At 39.7% G+C, this 23,370-nt stretch overlaps 1 pseudogene, besides 1 other annotated feature; it reads right to left on the bottom strand.

The window, feature by feature from the left end:
- On the bottom strand, nucleotides 489-2,057 carry ASS1P9 (argininosuccinate synthetase 1 pseudogene 9; annotated as a pseudogene).
- Nucleotides 6,013-7,212: an enhancer, noted in NCBI's record as "BRD4-independent group 4 enhancer chr5:53149739-53150938 (GRCh37/hg19 assembly coordinates)". NCBI's record gives its function as "activates an origin of replication core promoter dependent on BRD2, P300/CBP, MED14 and CDK7 cofactors, and independent of BRD4, by STARR-seq in HCT116 cells {active_cell/tissue: HCT116}" and the evidence as "EXISTENCE:reporter gene assay evidence [ECO:0000049][PMID:35650434]".

Here is a 23,370-nt window from a genome sequence, read left to right as displayed (position 1 = left end):
TGCTGTGGTGTTGGAAGCATAAAACATACTACCTGACTGCTACATTGTTTCTTACGGTGAATCACAAAGTCCTGTTGATTCTCCCAGCAAAACATCTTCTGACTAGGGCTGACTACATCATTCATGGAGTCCAGAGCAAAATGAAAATTCAGTCCTTTATTCAAAAACCAGTACTCCTGAAAGTACCAAAATATAAAGTTTTTTCCTTTATTCTATGTAAAAAGCTTGTTTTCAACTTGCCACGGTGTTTTTTATTTGCAATTTACTATCTTTCTAAGTAAAGAAAAATTTAAACTTGAAATTTTACCATTCATTTTTATAATGTACAAGGCCATTTTTAAATGCAAATATAAAAGCTACCTTTTATATAAAATTGCCAAAATAACATAGTTTATATTTTGTAGCTCACAAATGCACTTGAGTTTCAGGTTCTTACCAGAATGGTGAAAACACTGTATAAAAGGAACTCACAGGTTTTTTTTTTTAAATCTTTTAATTGTCATTTTATAGCTCCCCACCACAGCTGCCCCCCACCCTTCCCTTTGATGACAACGTTTGCAGGCTTCAGGGGGACCAGAGAACAAAGCTGGGGCCTGGCAGCCCCACTACGCTGCCAGCCGAGGAGAACAAGTCACAATTACAAATTATCACAACAATTAGCTCCTGTACTTGGGGGATCAGCAAATTAAGGAGGCCCCAGCTCCTCATTGTACAGGGGGCTATTTGGCAGTGACCTTGCTCTGGAGACGATGATATTCCTTCAGCCTGAGGGAATTGATGTTGATGAACCCGGTGGCATCAATTGACTGATAATCACCCTGCACGTTCATGCTCACCGGCTCCTCCTTGTAGAGAGACAGTGGGGACTCCTGGCCAAGGATGTACACCTGGCCCTCGAGGACGGACACCTGCACTTTCCCTTCCACTTGCTCCTGGGACTTGGCGATGCAGTGGCAGACAAATTCACACTCAGGGCTGTACCAGAAACCGGTATCCACCAGCTCAACAAATTTCAAGCCCAGGCCTTGTTTGATTTTGCGCACTTCCTGGCCCATGGTGAAGGCCTTGGTGTCTAAATGAGCGAGGTAAAGGATGGTGCTTGCTGGGGCCTGGTAGATCCCTCGGGACTTCATTCCAATGAAGCGGTTCTCCATGATGTCAATACAGCCCACACCCTGCTTGCCCACGACTTCGTTCAGGTACATGAAGAGCTCCAATGAGGTCTGGTGGGTGGTGCCATCCTTGACGTTGGTCACCTTCACGGGGACTCCTTTTTTGAACTCGATCTCGAGAATGTCAGGGGTGTTGGGGGCTTTGGCCGGGTCCTGGTCTTCGTGTAGAGACCTGGAGGTGCTTGGTTCTTAGGGTTCTCCAGGATTCCAGACTCGTAGCTGATATGCATGAGGTTCTCGTCCATGCTCCACGAGTTCTTGGGTGTGACCGGGATGGGAATCCTGTGTTGCTTTGCATATTCCATCAGGTCATTGCGGCCCTTGAGCTGGTTGTAGAATTTGGGCATCCTCCAGGGAGCAATGACCTTTATCTGGGGGGCTAGTGAGTAGCAAATGAGCTCAAACCGGACCTGATTGTTCCCATTTCCCGTGGTGCTGTGGGACATATACTTGGCCCCCTTCCACTGGGTGATTTCCATTTGTTTGCAGGCGATGCAGGGCCTGGCGAGAGGTGCCCAGAAGGTAGCGGTCCTCATACAGTGCACTGGACTGGATGGCCGGCCAGATGAACTCCTCCACAAACTCCCTGCCGACATCCTCAATGAACACCTTTTTAGCCCCAAACTTCAGTGCATTCTTCCTGGCTTCCTCGAAGTCTTCCTTCTGGCCAATGTTGGCCAGGTAGGCAATGACGTCATAGCCTTGTTCCTTCAGCCACAGGAGGGTGCAGGAGGTGTCCAGGCTGCCACTGTAGGCCAGAACCACGGAGCCTTTGGTGGACATAGCGTCTGAGATTGGAGGCATGACTTCCTGGCGTCCGGAATCTGTCTTCACCGTGCAGTGAACCACTCGGGTTCGAGCAGCGGTGGCAGGCGACAGAGCAGGCAGAACTTACCTGCTTTTATATGCACCTCTTCTAACACTTTCTACCTTTGGCTCACTGATGAGTCAAAAAGGACTTTAGAAGGCTTTTAAAGAAGCATACTCAAGAGTAAAGAAGAAAACAAAACTATGGGTTGCCCTACCCTCTCTCTTTTCTAATTTGTCATCATTTTCAGCCTACATGGTTGACTGATACAGCAAAGTAACAAAGGTGAGAAAGGATGTGATAGAGTTCCTTGTTAGTTCATGTTTCTTAGAATGCCCTTACCTTCTTTCTGTGTTCTGACCAAGACTGAACAGAAAGCATGGCTCGTCAGGTTTATCAGAGCCTCTGCTTACTCAGTCATGGAGGTAACACGCTTGCCTTGTACTCAATTTGTATCACACTGAGCTCCAATGCATTATGGGTCCACTGGGATTCTGTGCTCATGGGGCATCTTGAATGTTCTACGCACACAGGGAGGCAAGGGATGGCAAGGAATGACAAAACAAGATTGTGCCTGTATTGTCTGCTCATGCATATGGTCCATTGTCTCATTGAACTTCACTTACAAAATACAAACTTATTAAGAATTTCAGCACAATGATAGCGGGGAATTAAATGAAGTGCAGGAGGCTTCTGAGTTCACAAGCCTATGAAGTCGGCCCTGTTTCTGACTCCATCCCTTGCTTTCTATTCCCACAGCCACCATTCTAATTCCAACTTTCCTTATCTTACAACTCAAGGATCAATCGATTTCTAAATTGGTTCCCTGACTCTCACTTCCTTCTCTAGAAGTATCCTATAAATCAGGGGTCCCTGATTTACAACTGGTCTGTGACCCAGGGCCACAGACCAGTACCACTCCATGTCCTGTTAGGAACTAGGCCACACAGCAGGGGGTGAGCAGTGGGTGAGGGAGCATTGTGGCCTAAGACCTTCCTCCTGTCAGATCAGCCATGGCATTAGGTTCTCATAGGAGCACGAACCCTATTATGAACTGTGCATACAAGGGATCTAAGTTGCATGCTCCTTAAGAGAATCTAATGCCTCTGACACCATCCTCCCCAGTCTGTGGAAAAATTGTCTCCTACAAAACCAGTCCCTGGTGCCAAAAATATTGGGCATTGCTGCTATAAATTATTGCCAGTTTGATTTTCCTAAAGCAATACTGGCACACATGACTTCACTGCTTCAGTCCTTCAGTGGTATCCCACTGTCTATCAGGCTCAAACTCTTAATCACAAAATTCAGGGCCTTCCACATTCTGGCCTTAAGCCAATTTTTTTAAATCTTTCTTTCCCTCTGCACACTTGACCTCTATCCAGATACAAATCAAGCAGAACAAAGGTATTCCCCAATAGATTATGTCAGAGTTTGGGACACACTACCCCAAAGTATGGCACCTGGAAACTGAGAAAATAGCAGACACAGAAAGGTTGCTCTCTGACTTTCCCCCATCTTTCTGTGTGAGAACTGGCCATAAAGGAATTCTCCAACCTACCTTCCCTGAATTATGTCATAAGACCCTCATGTGTCAACTGTCCTACCCTATACCCAGAGGAAAGGAATACTACACAGAGAGGCCATTAAGAATCTGAACAAGCAGGCCTTGCTGAGTTCCTTTTATTTTATTATTATTTTTTTTTTGAGACAGAGTCTCGCTCTGTTGCTCAGGCTAGAGTGCAGTGGAGTGATCTTGGCTCACTGCAACCTCCCCATCCCAGGTTCAAGCTATTCTCCTGCCTCAGCCTCCCGAGTAGCTGAGATTACAGGCACCCACCACTATGCCCAGCTAATTATTTGTATTTTTAGTAGAGACGGGGTTTCACCATGTTGGCCAGGCTGGTCTCGAATTCCTGACCTTGTGATTCGCCTGCCTCAGCCTCCCAAAGTGCTGGGATTACAGGGGTGAGCCACCACGCCCAGCTTCCCCTTTAGTTTATTATCATCAGATCACATCCCCTTTTTGTCCAATCACATTTCTACATGTCTCCCTTCTTCATCGAATGTAAGCATAAAAAGACAGTGTTCCCTGGGTCTTTGGATCTTCATTTCTAAAGGCTCCTGTGTCACATAAGTCTTGGTTGAATAAATGTGTTATGATTTGTTAATCTGTATTTTATTAACTGGGATGCCAGCCACGTCCCTTGTGATGGGTGAGGAAAAAGTATTACCTTTTCTCCCCTACAATTGCTAACACCAATTGTGATGGTTAATATTAAGGGTCTACTTGATTGAATTAAAAGATGCAAAGTATTGTTCCTGAGTGTGTCTGGGAGGGTGTTGCCAGAGGAGATTAACATTTCAGTCAATGGACAGGGAGAGGCAGACACACCCTCAGTGTGGGTGGGTACCATCCAATCAGCTGCTAGCATGGCTAGAAAAAGCAGGCGGAAGAAGGTGGAATGAGTCAACTTGCTGAGTCTTCTGGCCTTCACCTTTCTCTCCTGTGCCGGATGCTTCCTGCCCTTGAACATCTGACTTTAGCTTCTTTGGTTTTTGGACTCTTGGACTCACACCAGTGGTTTGCCAGGGCCTTGAGCGCTTTCCACCACAGAATGAAGGCTGCACTGTCAGTTTCCCTACTTTTGAGGTTTTGGGACCTGGACTGAGCTACTAGTGGCTTCCTTGTTCCTCAGCTTGCAGATGGCCTATCGTGAGACTTCATCCTATGATCATGTGAGTCAATTCTCCTTAATAAACTCACTTTCATATATACATAAATCCTATTAGTTCTGTCCCTCTAGAGAACCCTGACTAATGCACCAACCCATTGTCAATATAATACAGCAAAATCCAGTTCATTCCTCAAAGCCAGATTTTACTCTTCAATGAAACATTCCTTAACCACCCCAGCCCACAGTAGTTACATTTTTTACTTTTAGTAGGCTGAGTAATAGCCACTGAAAGACATCAAACCCTATTCCCAAGAACCTATAAATGTTACCTTATAAGAAAGAAGTGTCTTTGCAGATGTGATTAGGCTATTGACATGGAGAGATTTCCCTGGGTTATCCAGGTGGGCTTGGATATCCAATAGTTAGTGAAAATACTATAACATATCCAATAGTGAGTGAAAATACTATCTTTTCTCCATTGTATTGTCTTTGATTTTTTTGGGGGGGGAGGCTGCTTTATTCTGTTCTATTGATCTATTTGTCTATTCTTTTACCAATATCACATTATCTTGATTACTGTAGCTTTATAGTAAGTCTTGAAGTTGGGTAGTGTCAGTCCTCCAACTTTGTTCTTCTTCAATATTGTGTTGGCTATTCTGAGTATTTTACCTCTTTATATAAACTTTAGAATCAGTTTGTGGACATCGATAAAATTTACTGGGGTTTTGACTGGATTGCATTATATCTATAGGTCAAGTTCAAAGAATTGATATTTTGACAATATTGAGTCTTCCTATACATGAACATGGTTTCATTTCTCAGAGTTTTGTAGCTTTCTCATATAGATCTTGTACATATTCTGCTAGATTTTTACCTATTTAATTTTTTGGTGTGCACATGTAAATTGTATTAAGTTTCAAATTCCACTGTTCATAGCTGGTATATAGGAAAGGAGTTAAGTTGTGTATAATAACCTTGTATCCTGCAACCTTGCTATAATCACTTATTAGTTCTAGGGTTTTTTTTAAATCAACTCTTTTGGATTTTCTGCATAGACGATCATGTAATCTGTGAACAGAGACAGTTTCATTTCTTCCTTTGCAATCTGTATACCTTTTATTTCTTTTTCTTGTTGCATTAGCTAGTATTTCCAGTGTAATGTTGAAAAGGAATGGTAACGGGACATCTTTATCTTGTTCCTGGTCTTAGTGGGAAAGCCTCTAGTTTCTTGCTATTAATTATGATGTTAACTGTAGGTTTTTGGTAAATATCCTTTATCAATTTGAATAAGTTCCCTTCTATTCCTAGTTTACTGAGAGGTTTTGTCATTAATGGGTTTTGAACTTTGAAGTCAAATGCTTTTTCTGCAACTATTGATATGATCATGCAAATTTTCTTTTTTAGCCTGTAGATGTGATGGATTGAATTAATTGATCTTCAAATGATGAACAAACTTCACATACCTGTGATAAATCCCACTTGGTCATGGGGAATAATATTTTTCATGTGCAGTTAGATCTGGTTTGCTAGTATTTTAGAGGATTTGTGCATCTATCTTCATGAGAGATATTGATCTGTAGTTTTCTTTTCCTGTGATGTCTTTATCTTATTAAAGTATCAGGATAGAGGATCATTCCAAGATGGCCGAACAGGAAGAGCTCTGGTCTGCAACTCCCAGCATGATCGATGCAGAAGATGGGTGATATCTGCATTTCCAACTGAGGTACCTGGTTCATCTAACTGGGACTGGTTGGACAGTGGGCGCAGACCATGGAGGATGAGCTGAAGCAGGGCGGGGCATCACCTCACCTGGGAAGCACAAGGGGTCAGGGGATTTCCCCTTCCTAGCCAAGGGAAGCCGTGACAGATGGTACCTGGAAAATCGGGGCACTCTTGCCCTAATACTGTGTTTTTCCAACAGTCTTAGCAAATAGCACACCAGGAGATTATATCCCGTGCCTGGCTCAGCAGGTCCCATGCCCAAAGAGCCTTGCTCACTGCTAGCACAGCAGTCCAAGATCGAACTGCGAGGTGGCAGCCTGGGCTGGGGGAGGGGTGTCCACCATTGCTGAGGCTTGAAAAGGTAAACAAAGCAGCCGGAAAGCTCGAACTTGGTGGAACCCACTGCAGCGCAATGAGGCCTGCCTTCCTCTGTAGACTCCACCTCTGGGGACAGGGCATAGCTGAACAAAAGGCAGCAGAAACTTCCGTAGACTTAAATGTCCCTGTCTGACAGCTCTGAAGAGAGCAGTGGTTCTCCCAGCATGGAGTGTGAGCTCTAAGAATGGACAGACTGCCTCCTCAAGTGGGTCCCTGACCCTCATGTAGCCTACTGGGAGATGCCTGCCAGTAGGGGCCAACTGATACCTCATACAGCTGGGTGCCCCTCGGAGATGAAGCTTCCAGAGGAAGGATCAGGCAGCAATATTTGCTGTTCTGCAGCATCCGCTGGTGATACCCAGGAAAACAGGGTCTGGAATGCTGGAATGGACCTCCAGCAAACTCCAACAGACCTGCAGCTGAGGAACCTGACTGTTAGAAGGAAAACTAACAAACAGAAAGGGATAGCATCAACATCAACAAAAATGACATCCACACCAAAACCCCATCTGTAGGTCACCATCATCAAAGACCAAAGTAGATAAAACCACAAAGATGGGGAGAAACCAGAGAAGAAAAGCTGAAAATTCTAAAAACCAGAGTGCCTCTTCTCCTCTAAAGGATTGCAGCCCCTCACCAGCAATGGAACAAAGCTGGATGGTGAATGACTTTGACAAGTTGACAGAAATAGGCTTCTGAAGGTCGGCAATAGCAAACTTATCCAAGAGAAGGAGGATGTTCGAACCCATTGCCAGGAAGCTAAAAACCTTGAAAAAAGATTAGATGAATGGCTAACTAGAATAAACAGCATAGAGAAGACCTTAAATGACTGGATGGAGCTGAAAACCATGGCACGAGAACTGTGTAATGGATGCACAAGCTTCAGTACCTGATTTGATCAAGTGAAAGAAAGGGTATCAGTGATTGAAGATCAAATGAATGAAATGAAGCAAGAAGTTTAGAGAAAAAATAGGAAAAAGAAATGAACAAAGCCTCCAAGAAACATGGGACCATGTGAAAAGATCAAATCTACGTTTGATTGGTGTACCTAAAATGATGGGGAGAATGGAACCAAGTTGGAAAACACTCTGCAGGATATTATCCAGGAGAACTTCCCCAACCTAGCAAGGCAGGCCAACATTCAAATTCAGGAAATACAGAGAACACCACAAATATACTCCTCGAGAAGAGCAACTCCAAGACAAATAATTGTCAGATTAACCAAAGTTGAAATGAAGGAAAAAGTGTTAAGGGCAGCCAGAGAGAAAGGTTGGGTTACCCACAAAGGGAAGCCCATGAGACTAACAGTGGCTCGCTCGGCAGAAACTCTACAAGCCAGAAGTGAGTGGTGGCCAATATTCAACATTCTTAAAGAAAAGAATTTTCAACCCAGAATTTCATATCCAGCCAACCTAAGCTTCATAAGTGAAGGAGAAATAAAATACTTTAAAGACAAGCAAATGCTGAGAGATTTTGTCACCACCAGGCCTGCCTTACAAGAGATCCCAAAGGAAGCAGTAAACATGGAAAGGAACAACTGGTACCAGCCACGGCAAAAACATGCCAAATCATAAAGACCATTTATGCTAGGAAGAAACTGCATCAACTAACAAGCAAAATAACCAGCCAACATCATAATGACAGGATCAAATTCACACATAACAATATTAACCTTAAATGTAAATGGGCTAAATGCCCCAATTAAAAGATACAGACTGGCAAATTGGATAAAGAGTCAAGATCCATCAATGTGCTTTATTCAGGAGACCCATCTCATGTGCAGAGACACACATAGGCTCAAAATAAAGGGGTGGAGGAAGATCTACCAAGCAAATGGAAAACAAAAAAAAAGCAGGGGTTGCAATCCTAGTCTCTGATAAAACAGACTTTATACCAACAAAGATCAAAAGAGACAAAGAAGGCCATTACATAATGGTAAAGGGATCATCAACAAGAAGAGCTAACTATCCTAAATGTATATGCACCCAATACAAGAGCACTCAGATTCATAAGGCAAGTCCTTAGAGACCTACAAAGAGACTTAGGCTCCCACACAATAATAATGGGAGACTTTAACACCCCACTATCAATATTAGACAGATCAATGAGACAGAAGGTTAACAAGGATATCCAGGACTTAAACTAAGCTCTGCACCAAGCAGACCTAATAGACATCTACAGAACTCTCCACCCCAAATCAACAGAATATACATTCTTCTCAGCACCACATCACACTTATTCCAAAATTGACCACATAGTTGGAAGTAAAGCACTCCTCAGCAAATGTAAAAGAACAGAAATCAAAACAAACTGTCTCTCAGACCACAGTGCAATCAAATGAGAACTCGGGATTAAGAAACTTACTCAAGGCTGGGCATGGTGGCTCATGCCTGTAATCCCAGCACCGTGGGAGGCTGAGGCGGGTGGGTCACGAGGTCAGGAGATCGAGACCATCCTGGCTAACACAGTGAAACCCCATCTCTACTAAAAACACAAAAAATTAGCTTGGCATGGTGGCGGGCACCTGTAGTCCCAGCTACTTGGGAGGCTGAGGCAGGAGAATGGTGTGAACCCAGGAAGCAGAGCTTGCAGTGAGCCGAGATAGCACCACTGCACTCCAGCCTGGGCGAAAGAGCAAGACTCTGTTTCAAAAAAAAAAAAAAAAAAAAAAGAAAAAAGAAAAAGAAACTCATTCAAAACCACACAACTACATGGAAACTGAACAACCTGCTCCTGAATGAATACTGGGTAAATAACAAAATAAAGGCAGAAATAAAGATATTCTTTGAAACCAATGAGAACAAAGACACAACATATCAGTACCTCTGGGACACATTTAAAGCAGTGTGTAGAGGGAAATTTATAGCACTAAATGCCCACAAGAGAAAGCAGGAAAGATCTAAAATCGACACCCTAACATCACAATTAAAAGAACTAGAGAAGCAGGAGCAAACAAATTCAAAAGCTAGCAGAAGGCAAGAAATAACTAAGAACAGAGCAGAACTGAAGGAGATAAAGACACAAAACCCCTTCAAAAAAATCAACAAATCCAGGAGCTGGTTTTTTGAAAAGATCAAGAAAATAGATAGACTGCTAGCAAGGCTAATAAAGAAGAAAAGAGAGAAGAATCAAATAGATGCAATAAAAAATGATAAAGGGGATATCACCATTGATCCCACAGACATGAAAACTACCTTCAGAGAATACTATAAACACCTCTACACAAATAAACGAGAAAATCTAGAAGAAATGGATAAATTCCTGGACACATACATCCTCCCAAGACTAAACCAGGAAGAAGTTGAATCCCTGAATAGACCAATAACAGGCTCTGAAACTGAGGCAATAATTAATAGCCTAGCAACCAAAACAAGTCCAGGACCAGAAGGACTCACAGCCAAATTCTACCAGAGGTACAAAGAGGAGCTGGTACCATTCCTTCTGAAACTATTCCAATCAATAGAAATAGAGGGAATCCTCCCTAACTCATTTTATGAGGCCAGCAACATCCTGATACCAAAGCCTGGCAGAGACACAACAAAAAAAGAGAATTTCAGACCAATATCCCTGATGAACATCGATGCAAAAATCCTCAATAAAATACTGGCAAACCAAATCCAGCAGCACATCAAAAAGCTTATCCACCATGATCAAGTTTGCTTCATCCCTGGGATGCAAAGCTGGTTCAACATATGCAAATAAATAAAGGTAATCCATCACATAAACAGAACCAAAGACAAAACCACATGATCATCTCAATAGATGCAAAAAATGCCTGCGACAAAATTCAACAGTCCTTCATGCTAAAAACTCTCAATAAACTAGGTATTGATGGGACGTATTTCAAAATAATAAGAGCTATTTATGACAAACCCACAACCAATATCATATTGAATGGGCCATAACTGGAAGCATTCCCTTTGAAAACTGGCACAAGACAGAGATGCCCTCTCTCACCACTCCTATTCAACATAGTGTTGGGTGTTCTAGCCAAGGCAATCAAGCAAGATAAAGAAATAAAGGGTATTCAATTAGGAAAAGAGGAAGTCAAATTGTCCCAGTTTGCAGATAACATGATTGCATATTTAGAAAACCCCATCATTTCAGCCCCAAATCTCCTTAAGCTGATAAGCAACTTCAGCAAAGTCTCAGGATACAAAATCAATGTGCAAAAATCACAAGCATTACCATACACCAATAACAGACAGGGAGCCAAATGATGAGTCAACTTCCATTTACAATTGCTTCAAAGAGAATAAAATACCTAAGAATCCAACTTACAAGGGATGTGAAGGGCCTCTTCAAAAAGAACTACAAACCACTGCTCAATGAAATAAAAGAGGACGTAAACAAATGGAAGAACATTCCATGCTCATGGATAGAAAGAATCAATATCATGAAAATGGCCATACTGCCCAAGGTAGTTTATAGATTCAATGTCATCCCCATCAAACTACCAATGACTTTCTTCACAGAGTTAGAAAAACTACTTTAAAGTTCATATGGAACCATAAAAGAGCCCTCATTGCCAATACAATCCTAAGCAAAAAGAACAAAGCTGGAAGCATCATGCTACCTGACTTCAAACTATACTCCAAGGCTACAGTAACCAACACAGCATGGTACCAAAACAGAGATATAGACCAATGGAATAGAACAGAGGCCTGAGAAATAACACCACACGTCTACAACCATCTCATCTTTGACAAACCCGACAAAAACAAGAAATGGGGAAAGGATTCCCTATCTAACAAATTGTGCTGGGAAAACTGGCTAGCTATATGTAGAAAGCTGAAACTGCATCCCTTCCTTACACCTTATACAAAAATTAATTCAAGATGGATTAAAGACTTAAATGTTAGACCTAAAACCATAAAAACCCTAAAAGAAAACCTAGGCAATACTATTCAGGACATAGGCACGGGCAAGGACTTTATGACTGAAACACCAAAAGCAAAGGCAACAAAAGCCAAAATAGACAAATTGGATCTAATTAAACTAAAGAGCTTCTGCACAGCAAAATAAAGTACCATAACAGGCAACCTACAGAATGGGAGAAAATTTTTGCAATCTACCCATCTGACAAAGAGCTAATATCCAGAATCTACAAAGAACTTAAACAAATTTACAAGAAAAAAAACTCCATCAAAAAGTGGGCAAAGGATATGAACAGACATTTCTCAAAAGAAGACATTTATGCAGCCAAGAGACACATGAAAAAATGATCATCATGGCTGGTCATCAGAGAAATGCAAATCAAAACCACAATGAGATACCATCTCACACCAGTTAGAATGGCAATCATTAAAAAGTCAGCAAACAACAGGTGCTGGAGAGGATGTGGAGAAAAAGGATCAGTTTTACACTGTTGGTGGGACTGTAAACTAGTTCAACCACTGTGGAAGACAGTGTGGCGATTCCTCAAGGATCTAGAACTAGAAATACCATTTGACCCAGCCATCCCATTACTGGGTATATACCCAAAGGATTATAAAGACACATGTTACTATAAAGACACATGAACAGGTATGTTTATTGTGTCACTATTCACAATAGCAAAGACTTGGAACCAACCCAAATGTCCATCAATGATAGACTGGATTAAGAACATGTGGCACATATACACCATGGAATACTATGCAGCCATAAAAAAGGATGAGTTCATGTCCTTTGTCAGGACATGGATGAAGCTAGAAACCGTCATTCTCAGCAAACTATCACAAGGACAGAAAACCAAACACTGCATGTTCTCACTCATAGGTGGGAATTGAATAATGAGAACACTTGGACACAGGATGGGGAACATCACATATTGTCACCTGTCATGGGGTGGGGGTAGGGGGTAGGGATAGCATTAATAGTAATACCTAATGTAAATGATGAGTAATGGGTGCAGCACACCAACATGGCACATGTATACCTATGTAACAAACCTGCATGTTGTGCACATGTACCTTAGAACTTTAAGTATATATATAAAAAAATGCTCCTCACTCAGTATATAGATAAGCAAACTATGATTCAGCTAATTTTATCATCCACTAAAGGGAATGTGTTATATCTTTATTAGTTGATTTGGAGGGGGTTTTACACTAGGTGTTCATGTGACCAAAACAGTTTTCTAATATTTTAAATTATGGTAAGGAGGGATGTGTAAGGGAGGGAGAAGAGAGGGATAAACAATTTAACAAAATGGTTAAAAAGTATTCTCAATGAAATACATGTAAAATATCTCATTTATTCAAAATTGTATATCTAAGTATTCATACATATGTCTGAAGAAATGTATTAAAGGATAGTTACCAGCAAAAATAAATAAAAATAAAAATAAAAATAAAGTATGAGGATAATGCTGGCCTCATAGAATGAATTAGAAAATATTCCCTCTGTTTAATCCTCTGAAAAAGACTAGAGAATTGGTACAATCTCTTCCATAAAGTGTGGTAAATTCACCAGTGAAGCCATCTCGGCCTGATGCTTTGTTTTTGAAGATTATTAAATTACTGATTTAATTTCTTTAATAGATGTAAGCCTATTTCGATTGTATATTTCTTCTTGTGTGAATTTTGGCAAATCAGATCTTTCAAGGAATTGGTCCATTTCATCTAGGTTTTCAAAATTGTAGGCCTATAGTTATTCTTTGTATTCCTTTATTATTCTTTTAATGTCCATAGGATCTGTAGTGATGTCCTCTCTTTCATTTCTGATATTAGTAATTCATCTTCTCTCTCTCTCTCTTTTTTTTAATTAGCCTGGCTAGAGGCTTATCAATTTTATTGATCTTTTCAATAAACCAGCTTTGGTTTCATTGATATTCTATATTGATTTTCTGGTTTTAATTTCATTGATTTCTGCTCTAATTCTTGCTTCTTTTCTTCTTAGTTTGGATTTAATTTGCCCTTCTTTTTCTAGTTTCATCAGATGGAAGCGTATTATTGATTTTAAATCTTTCTTCTTTTCTAATATATGCATTCAATGCTATCCATTTCCCTCTTAGCACTGATTTTACTGCATACCACATATTTTGATAAATTGTGTTTCTATTTTTTTTTTATTATACTTTAAGTTTTAGGGTACATGTGCACAATGTGCAGGTTAGTTACATACATATACATGGGCCTGGTGGTGTGCTGCACCCATTAACTCATCATTTAGCATTAGGTATATCTCCTAATGCTATCCCTCCCCCCTCCCCCCACCCCGCAACAGTCCCCAGAGTGTGATGTTCCCCTTCCTGTGTCCATGTGTTCTCATTGTTCAATTCCCACCTATCAGTGAGAACATGCGGTGTTTGGTTTTTTGTCCTTGCGATAGTTTACTGAGAATGATGATTTCCAATTTCATCCATGTCCCTACAAAGGACATGAACTCATCATTTTTTATGGCTGCATAGTATTCCATGGTGTATATGTGCCACATTTTCTTCATCCAGTCTATCATTGTTGGATATTTAGGTTGGTTCCAAGTCTTTGCTATTGTGAATAGTGCCGCAGTAAACATATGTGTGCATGTGTCTTTATAGCAGCATGATTTATAGTCCTTTTCATATATACCCAGTAATGGGATGGCTGGGTCAAATGGTATTTCTAGTTCTAGATCCCTGAGGAATCGCCACACTGACTTCCACAATGGTTGAACTAGTTTACAGTCCCACCAACAGTGTAAAAGTATTCCAATTTCTCCACATCCTCTCCAGCACCTGTTGTTTCCTGACTTTTTAATGATTGCCATTCTAACTGGTGTGAGATGGTATCTCATTGTGGTTTTGATTTGCATTTCTCTGATGGCCAGTGATGGTAAGCATTTTTTCACGTGTTTTTTGGCTGCATAAATGACTTGTTTTGAGAAATGTCTGTTCATGTCCTTCACCCACTTTTTGATGGGGTTGTTTGTTTTTTTTCTCGTAAATTTTTTTGAGTTCATTGTAGATTCTGGATATTAGCCCTTTGTCAGATGAGTAGGTTGCAAAAATTTTCTCCCAATTTGTAGGTTGCGTGTTCACTCTGATGGTAGTTTCTTTTGCTGTGCAGAAGCTCTTTAGTTCTATTGTTATTGTTTAAAATATTTTAATATTTCTTTTGAGATTTCTTCTTTGAGCCATTAGTTATTTAGAAGTGTGTTTAATTGCCACATGCTTTGGGATATTTCAGTTATCTTTCTGTTATTTATTTCTAGTTTAATTACATGTGGTCTGAGAGCAGACATTGAACAATTTTTATTTTTTTAATTTGTTAAGCTGTATTTTATAGCCCAGAATGTGGTCTATCTTGGTGAATGTTCCATGTGAGCTTCAGAAGAATGTGGATTCTGCTGTTGTTGGATGAAGTAATTTATAGATGTCAATTATATCCAGTTAATCGATGACGTTGTTGAGTTAAAGTATGTCTTTATTGATTTTCTGCCTGCTGAATCTGTCCATTTCTGACAGAGGGGCGTTGAAGTCCCCAACTATAATAGTGTATTTATTAATTTCTGCTTGCAAGTTCTATTAGTTTCAGCCTCAGTTAGTTTGTCATTCTGTTGTTAGGCACATACATGTTAAGAATTGTTATGTCTTTTTACAGAATTTATCATTTTATCATTATATAATGTCATTATCTCTGATAACTTTTTTTGCTTTGTCTGAGATTTATATAGTCACTTCTGCTTTCTTTTGAGTATGTTAGCATGGTATATTTTTCTCTATTTTCTTACTTTTATCTATCTTTAAATAAACTGGGTTTTTTTGTAGACAACATATAGTTGGGTCTTGATTTTTGGTTTGCTGTGACAATCTCTATCTTTTAATTAGGTGCATTTCGACCATTGACATTCAAAGTAATTATTGACATAGTTGAATCAGTATCTACCACCTTCGTTACTGTTTTCTATCTGCCACCCTTGTTCTTTTTTCCTTTTTTTGTCTTTCGCTCTTTTCTCCTCTTTATCTGCCTTTTGTGGTTTTAACTGAGCATTTTATATGATTCCATCTTTTTGTAATTTCTTAGCATGTCAGTTATCCTTCTTATAACTTTTTTTAGTGTTTGCCCTAGAATTTGTAATTGACATTTATAACTAATGGAAGTCCACTTTGAAATAATACTATACCACTTCACAGGTAGTGTGAATACCTTGCAATAACAAAATAATCATAATTTCTTTCTTCTTTTCCTTCTATCATTGTTGTTATTCATTTCACTGATATATAAGCATACATAAGCATAAATAATATATATACATAAGCATGCATAATTGAATACATCATGCTATTATTTTGTTAGCTCATTTTTTTATTTTACGAAGTAAAATAAATTTATTCATTTTCCAATGTTCTTTCTTTATGTAAATATATGTTTCTGACCTATATAATTTTCCTTCTTTCTAAAAATCTTCTTTTAACATTTCCTGTAAGGCAGGTCTACTGGCAACTAATTCCCTCAATTTTTGTTTGTCTGAAAAAAATCCTTATTCTTCCTTCATTTTTGAAGGATAGTTTCACAGGGTAGAGAATTCTATGTTGGGGTGTGTGTGTGTGTGTGTGTGTGTGTGTTTCTTCAATACTTTAATTATTTCATTTCACTCTCTTCTTGCTTGCATGGTTTCTGAGGAGAAATTTGATATAATTCTTTTCTTTGTTCTACTATAGTTAAGGTGTTTTTTTTACCTGACATATTTCAGTATTTTTTATTTAACTCTAACTTTCTGTAGTTAAAAATAATATGTCTGGGTGTCTTTTTTTTTATTTTAAATATTTATCCTGCTTGGTGTTCTCTGGGCTTCCTGGATCTGAGCTTTTATATATTTAATCAGGACCTAGTCTGCTGGGGTGTTATGAGAGACTAACTGGCCTGAGAGAAGGGAAATGCCTAACTTCAGCCCACCCTAGTCACCCTGTCACAACTAAGGGGGGAGGAAAATACTGAGAAAGTTCACAGTTTAACACACATGTGCAAATATCTTTTTCGTATAATGACTTTTTTTCCTCGGGGTAGATGCCCAGTGGTGGGATTGCTGGATTAAATGGTAGTTTTACTTTTAGTTCTTTAAGAAATCTCCACACTGTTTTCCATGTACTAGTTTACAATCCCACCAGCAGTTCCCTGTTGCAGGAGTAAGATGGTATCATATTGTGATTTTGATTTGCATTTCCCTGATCATTAGTGAGGCTGAGCATTTTTTTCATATGTTTGTTGGCCATTTGTATATCTTCTTTTGAGAATTGTCTATTCATGTCTTTAGCCCATTTTTTGATGGGATTGTTTGCTTTTTTTCTTGCTAATTTGTTTGAGTTCCTTGTAGATTCTGTATATTGGTCTTTTGTCGGATGTATAGATTGTGAAGATTTTCTCCCACTCTGTGGGTTGTCTGTTTACTCTGCTTATTGTTTCTTTTGCTGTGCAGAAACTTTTTAGTTGAATTAAGTCCCACCTATTTATCATTGTTTTTGTTGCATTTGCTTTTGGGTTCTTTCATGAAGTCTTTGCCTAAGCAATGTCTAGAAGGGATTTTCCAATGTTATCTTCTAGAATTTTTATGGTTTTAGGTCTTTGAATTTAAGTTCTTGATCCATCTTGAGTTGATTTTTGTATAAGGTGAAAGATAAGGATCCAGTCTCATTCTTCTACATATGGCTTGCCAATTATCCAAGCACCATTTGTGGAAAAGGGTGTCCTTTCCCTACTTTATGTTTTTGTTTGCTTTGTTGAAGATGAGTTGGCTGTAAGTATTTGGGTTTATTTCTGGGTTCTCTAGTCTGCTCCGTTGGTCTATATGCTTATTTTTATACCAGTACCATGCTGTTTAGGTGACTATGGCCTTACAGTAGAGTTTGAAGTCAGGTAATGTGATGCCTCCAGATTTGTTCTTTTTGCTTAGTCTTGCTTTTTCTATGCGGGCCCTTTTTTGATTCCATATGCATTTTAGGATTGTCTTTTCTAGTTCTGTGAAGAATGATGGTGGTATTTTGATGGGAATTGCACTAAATTTGTAGATTGCTTTTGGCAGTATGGCCATTTTCAAAGTATTGATTCTACCCATCCATGAGCACGGGATGTGTTTCCATCTGTTTATGTCACCTATGATTTCTTTCAGCAGTGTTTTGTAGTTTTCCTTGTAGAGGTCTTTCACTTGCTTGGTCAGGTATATTCCTAAGTATTTTATTATTATTATTATTATTATTTGCAGCTATTGAAAAAGTGGTTGAGTTATTGATTTGATTCTCAGCTTGGTGACTGTTGGTGTATAGCAGAGCTTCTAATTTGTGTACATTAATTTTGTATCCTGAAACTTTGCTGAATTTATGAGTTCTAGGAGCTTTTTGGAGGAGTCTTTAGGACTTTCTGGCTATACAATTATACAATTATATTATCAGCAAACAGTGACAGTTTGACTTCCTCTTTACTGATTTGGATGCCCTTTATTTATTTCTCTTGTCTGATTGCTCTGGCAAGGACTTCCAGTACTATGTTGAATAGAAATGGTGAGAGTGAGCATCGTTGTCTTGTTCCAGTTCTCAGAGGGAATGTTTTCAACTTTTCCCCACTCAGTATTATGTTGGCTGTGGGTTTTTCATAGATGACTTTTATTACATTAAATTATGTCCCTTCTATGCCAATTTTGCTGAGGGTTTTAATCATAAAGGGATGTCCCTTCTATGCCAATTTTGCTGAGGGTTTTAAACAGCAAAAGCTTTTAAAGGAATGCTGGATTTTGTCAAATGTTTTTTCTGCATCTATTAAGATGATCATGTGATTTTTGTTTTTAATTCTGTTTATGTGGTTTATTACCTTTATTGACTTCCATATGTTAAACCACCTCTGCATACCTGGTATGAAACCCACTGGATCATGGTGGATTATCTTTTTGATATGCTGTTTGATTCAGTTAACTAGCATTTTGTTGTGGATTTTTGCATCTATGTTCATCAGAGATATTGGTGTGTAGTTTTCTTTTTTGTTATGTCTTTTCCTGGTTTTGGTATTATGGTGATACTGGCTTCATAGAGTGATATAGGGAGGATTCCCTCTTTCTCTATCCTGAGGAATAGTGTTATTGGATTGGTACCAATTCTTCTTCGACTGTCTGATAGAATTCAGTGAATCCATCTGGTTCTGGACTTTTTTTTTTTTTGGCAATTTCTAAATTACCACTTCAATCTTACGCCTATAATTGGTCTGTTCAAAGTTTCTATATCTTCCTGGTTTAATCTAGGAAGGTTGCATATTTCCAGGAATTTATCCATCGCCTCTAGGTTTTCTAAGTTATGCATATAAAGGTGTTCACAGTAGCCTTGAATAATCTTTTATGTTTGTGTAGTGTCAGCTGTAATATCTCCCATTTCGTTTCTAATTGAGCTTATTTGGGTCTTCTCTGTTATTTTCTTGGTTAATGTCACTAATGTTCTATCAATTTTATTTATCTTTTCAAAGAACCAGCTTTTTATTTCATTTATCTTTTATAATTTTTTTATTTCAATTTCATTTAATTCTGCTCTGGTCTTGGCTATTTCTTTTCTTCTACTAGGTTTGGGTTTGGTTTGTTCTTGTTTCTCTAATTCCTTGAAGTATGACCTTAGGTTTTCTATTTGTGCTCTTTCAGACTTTTTGATGTAGACATTTAAGGCTATGAACTTTCCTTTTAGAACTGCATTGGCTGTGTCCCAGAGGTTTTGATAGGATGTGTCACTATTATCATTCAGCTCAAAAATTTTTTTAATTTCCATCTTGATTTCATTGTTTGACCCAATGATCATTCAGGAACAGGTTATTTAATTTCCATGTATTTGCATGGTTTTGAAGGTTCCTTTTGGAGTTGATTTCTAATTTTATTCCACTGTGGTTGGAGAAAGTACTGGATATAATTTCAATTTTCTTAAATACATTGAGGCTTGTTTTGTGGCCTATCACATGGTCTATCTTCGAGAATGTTTCATCAGCTGATTAATATAATGTATATTCTGTGGTTGTTGGGTATATAAATATCTGTTAAGTCCATTTGGTCTAGGCATAGTTTAAATCCATTGTTTCTTTGTTGACTTTTTCTCTTGATGACCTGTCTGGTGCTGTCAGTGGAGTATTGAAGTCCCCCACTATTATGATGTTGCTGTCTATCTAATTTCTGAGGTCTAGTAGTAATTGTTTTATAAATTTGGGAGCTCCAGTGTTAGGTGCATAAATATTTAAGATTCTGATACTTTCCTGTTGGACAAGGCCTTTTATCATTGTATAATGTCCCTTTTTGTCATTTTTAACTGCTGTTGATTTAAAGTTTGTTTTGTCTGATATAAGAATAGCTACTCCTGCTTGCTTCTGGTGTCCATTTGCATGGAATGTCTTTTTCCACCCCTTTACCTTAAGTTATGTGGGTCCTTACATAATCTGGAATGCAGTAAGTACTTGGTTGGTGAATTCTTATCCATTCTGCCATTCTATATCTTTTAAGTGGAGCATTTAGGCCATTTACATTCAACATTAGTATTGAGATGTGAGGTACTATTCTATTCACTATGCTATTTGTTGCCCGAATACCTTGGTTGTTTAAAAAATTATTTATTGTGTTGTTGTTTTATAGGTCCTGGGAGATTTATGCTTTAAGGAGTTTCTGTTTTGATGTGTTTCGAGGATTTGTTTCAAGATTTAGAGCTCCTTTTAGCAGTTCTCATAATGCTGCTTGGTAGTGGCGTATTCTCTCAGCATTTGTTTGCCTGAAAAGACTCTATCTTTCCTTCATTTATGAAACTTAGTTTCTATCTTGGTTTCACTGGATACAAAATTCTTGGATGATACTTGTTTAAGGAAGCTGAAGATTGGGCCCAATTCCTTCTAGCTTGTGCAGCTTCAGCTGATAAATCTGCTGTTAATCTGATAGGTTTACCTTTATAGGTTACCTTGTGCTTTTGCCTCACAACTCTTTTTTTTTTTGTTTTTTGTTTTTTGAGATGGAGTCTTGCTCTGTCGCCCAGGCTGGAGTGTGGTGGCGAGATCTCAGCTCACTGCTACCTCTGCCTGCCAGGTTCAAGTGATTCTCCTGCATCAGCTTCCTGAGTAGCTGGGATTACAGGCATGGACCACCATGCCCAGCTAATTTTTGCATTTTTAGTAGAGATGGGGTTTCACTATGTTGGTCAGGTTGGCCTCAAACTCCTGACCTCATGATTTGCCTGCCTTGGCCTCCCAAAGTGCTGGGATTACAGGGTTGAGCCACTGCACCCAGCCTTGCTTCGCAAGTCTTAATATTCTTTCCTTTGTCTTGACTTTAGATAACTCGATGACTAGTGCCTATACAATGATCTTTTTGCCATGAATTTCCCAGGTGTTCTTTGAGCTTTTTGTATTTGGAAGTCTAGATTTCTGGCAAGGGTGGAGAAGTTTTCCTTGATTATTCCTCCAAATATGTTTTCCAAACTTTTAGATTTCTCTTCTTCCTCAGGAATGTCAATTATTCTTAGGTTTGTTCATTTAACATAATCCCAAACTTCTTGGAAGCTTTGTTCATTTTTTTAAAATTATTTTTTCTTTGTCTTTGTTGGATTGGATTATTTCAAAAACCTTGTCTTCGAGGTCTGAAGTTCTGTCTTCTACTTGATTGATCCTATTGCTGAGACTTTCCAGTGCATTTTGCATTTCTATAAATGTGTCCTTGATTTCCAGAAGTTGTGATTATTTTTTATTTATGCTATCTATTTCACTGAAGGTTTCTCCCCTCATATCTTTTATCATTTTTTTAAATTTTCTTAAATTGGACTTCACCTTTCTCTGGTACTTCTTTGATTAGCTTAATAATTGACCTTCTGAATTCTTTTTTCTGGCAAATCAGGGATTTCTTCTTGGTTTGGATCATTTGCTGGTGAGCTAGTGTGATTTTTTTGAGGTTGTTAAAGAACCTTGCTTTTTCATATTACCAGAATTGTTTTTCTGGTTCCTTCTTATTTGGGTAGGCTATGTTGGAGGCAAGATCTGGGGCTCAAGGCTGCTGTTCAGATTCTTTTGTCCTGTGGGGTGCTCCCTTGATGTAGTACTCTTCTCCTTTTCCTAGGGGTGTGGCTTCCCAAGAGCTAAACTGTAGTGATTGTTATTTCTTTTCTGGACCTAGCCACCCAGTGGGGCTACCAGGTTCCAAGCTGGTACTGGGGGCTGTCTGCACAGAGTCCTGTGATGTAAAACATCTTCTGGTCTCTCAGCCATGGATAGCAGCACCTGCTCTGGTGGAGGTGGCAGGATTGTGAAATGGACTCTGTGAGGGTCCTTAGTTGTATTATTTTTGTTTATTGGACTAGTTTTGTGCTGGTTGGCTTCTTGCTGGAAGGTGGCACTTTCAAGAGAGCATCAGCTGTGGTATAGGGAGGATCATGTGGTGGGCAGGGTCCTAGAACTCCCAAGAAAATATGACCTTTGTCTTCAGCTACCAGGGTGGGTAGAGAATGACCATCATGTTGGGGCAGGGTTAAGCATGTCTGAGCTCAGATTCTCCCTGGGCAGGGCTTGCTGCAGCTGCTGTGGTGGATGGGTCCCCAGGTCAATGGAGTTATGTTCCCAGGATTATAACTGCCTCTACTCTGTCACCCAGGTTACCAGAGAAGTGGGGGAATGCCAACAGTTACAGGCCTCCGCAGGTCCCATGCAACCCAAAAGACCAGTCTCACTCCCATTGTGCCCCCAACTCCCAACAGCACCGAGTTTGTTTCCAGGCAGTGGATGAGCAGGGCTAAGAACTTGCTCCAGGCTACCAGCCTCTCAGCTGAGAAAGCACACAAGGCTTTCAAGTTTCATGCCTCACTGCCTTCCAAAGTCTGCACTTCGGATTTACCCCGTCTGGTATTCTGTCCAAGAATCTGCATTTTCAGTTGGAATTGTTACAAAGTTCAGCTGAAGGTTTCCTTTTCCCTGCGGTCTTTTCCCAGTTCCTCTGGCAGTCCTCCCCAGTGACACCTGTGAAACAAAGTCTGAGTTCTCTATTCTTTTAGTCTATCCAGCTTTTTACTTGTTGTTAGAATCGAGTGGCTACTTTTTTTTTTTTTAATAGAGATGGAGGTCTCACTATGTTGACCAGGCTGGTCTTGAACTCCTGGCCTCAAGCAATCCTTCTGCCTCAGCCTCCCAAAGTAGTGGTGTGTCCAGAATTGGTGGGTTCTTGGTCTCACCGACTTCAAGAATGAAGCCACAGACCCTCGCGGTGAGTGTTACCGTTCTTAAACGCGGCATGTCTGGAGTTTGTTCCTTCTGATGTTCAGATGTATTCAGAGTTTCTTCCTTCTGGTGGGTTCGTGGTCTCCCTGGCTCAGGAGTAAAGCTGCAGACCTTTGCGGTGAGTGTTACAGCTCTTGAGGCAGTGTGTCTGGAGTTGTTCATTTCTCCGGGTGGGTTTGTGGTCTCACTGGCTTCAGGAGTGAAGCTGCAGACCTTCGCAGTGAGTGTTACAGCTCATAAATGCAGCATAGAACCAAAGAGTGAGCAGCAGCAAGATTTATTGCAAACAGTGAAAGAACAAAGCTTCCACAGTGTGGAAGGGCACCCAAGCAGGTTGCCACTGCTGGCTTGGGCAGCCTGCTTTTATTCTCTTATCTGGCCCCACCCACATTCTGCTGATTGGTCCATTTTACAGAGCGCTGATTGGTCTGTTTTACAGAGAGCTGATTGGT

This window comes from Homo sapiens, chromosome 5 (assembly GCF_000001405.40).
Source record: "Homo sapiens chromosome 5, GRCh38.p14 Primary Assembly".
Lineage (NCBI taxonomy): Eukaryota > Metazoa > Chordata > Mammalia > Primates > Hominidae > Homo > Homo sapiens.
The sequence above is the reverse complement of the archived record's forward strand: the minus strand, read 5'-3'. Positions and strand labels throughout refer to the sequence as shown.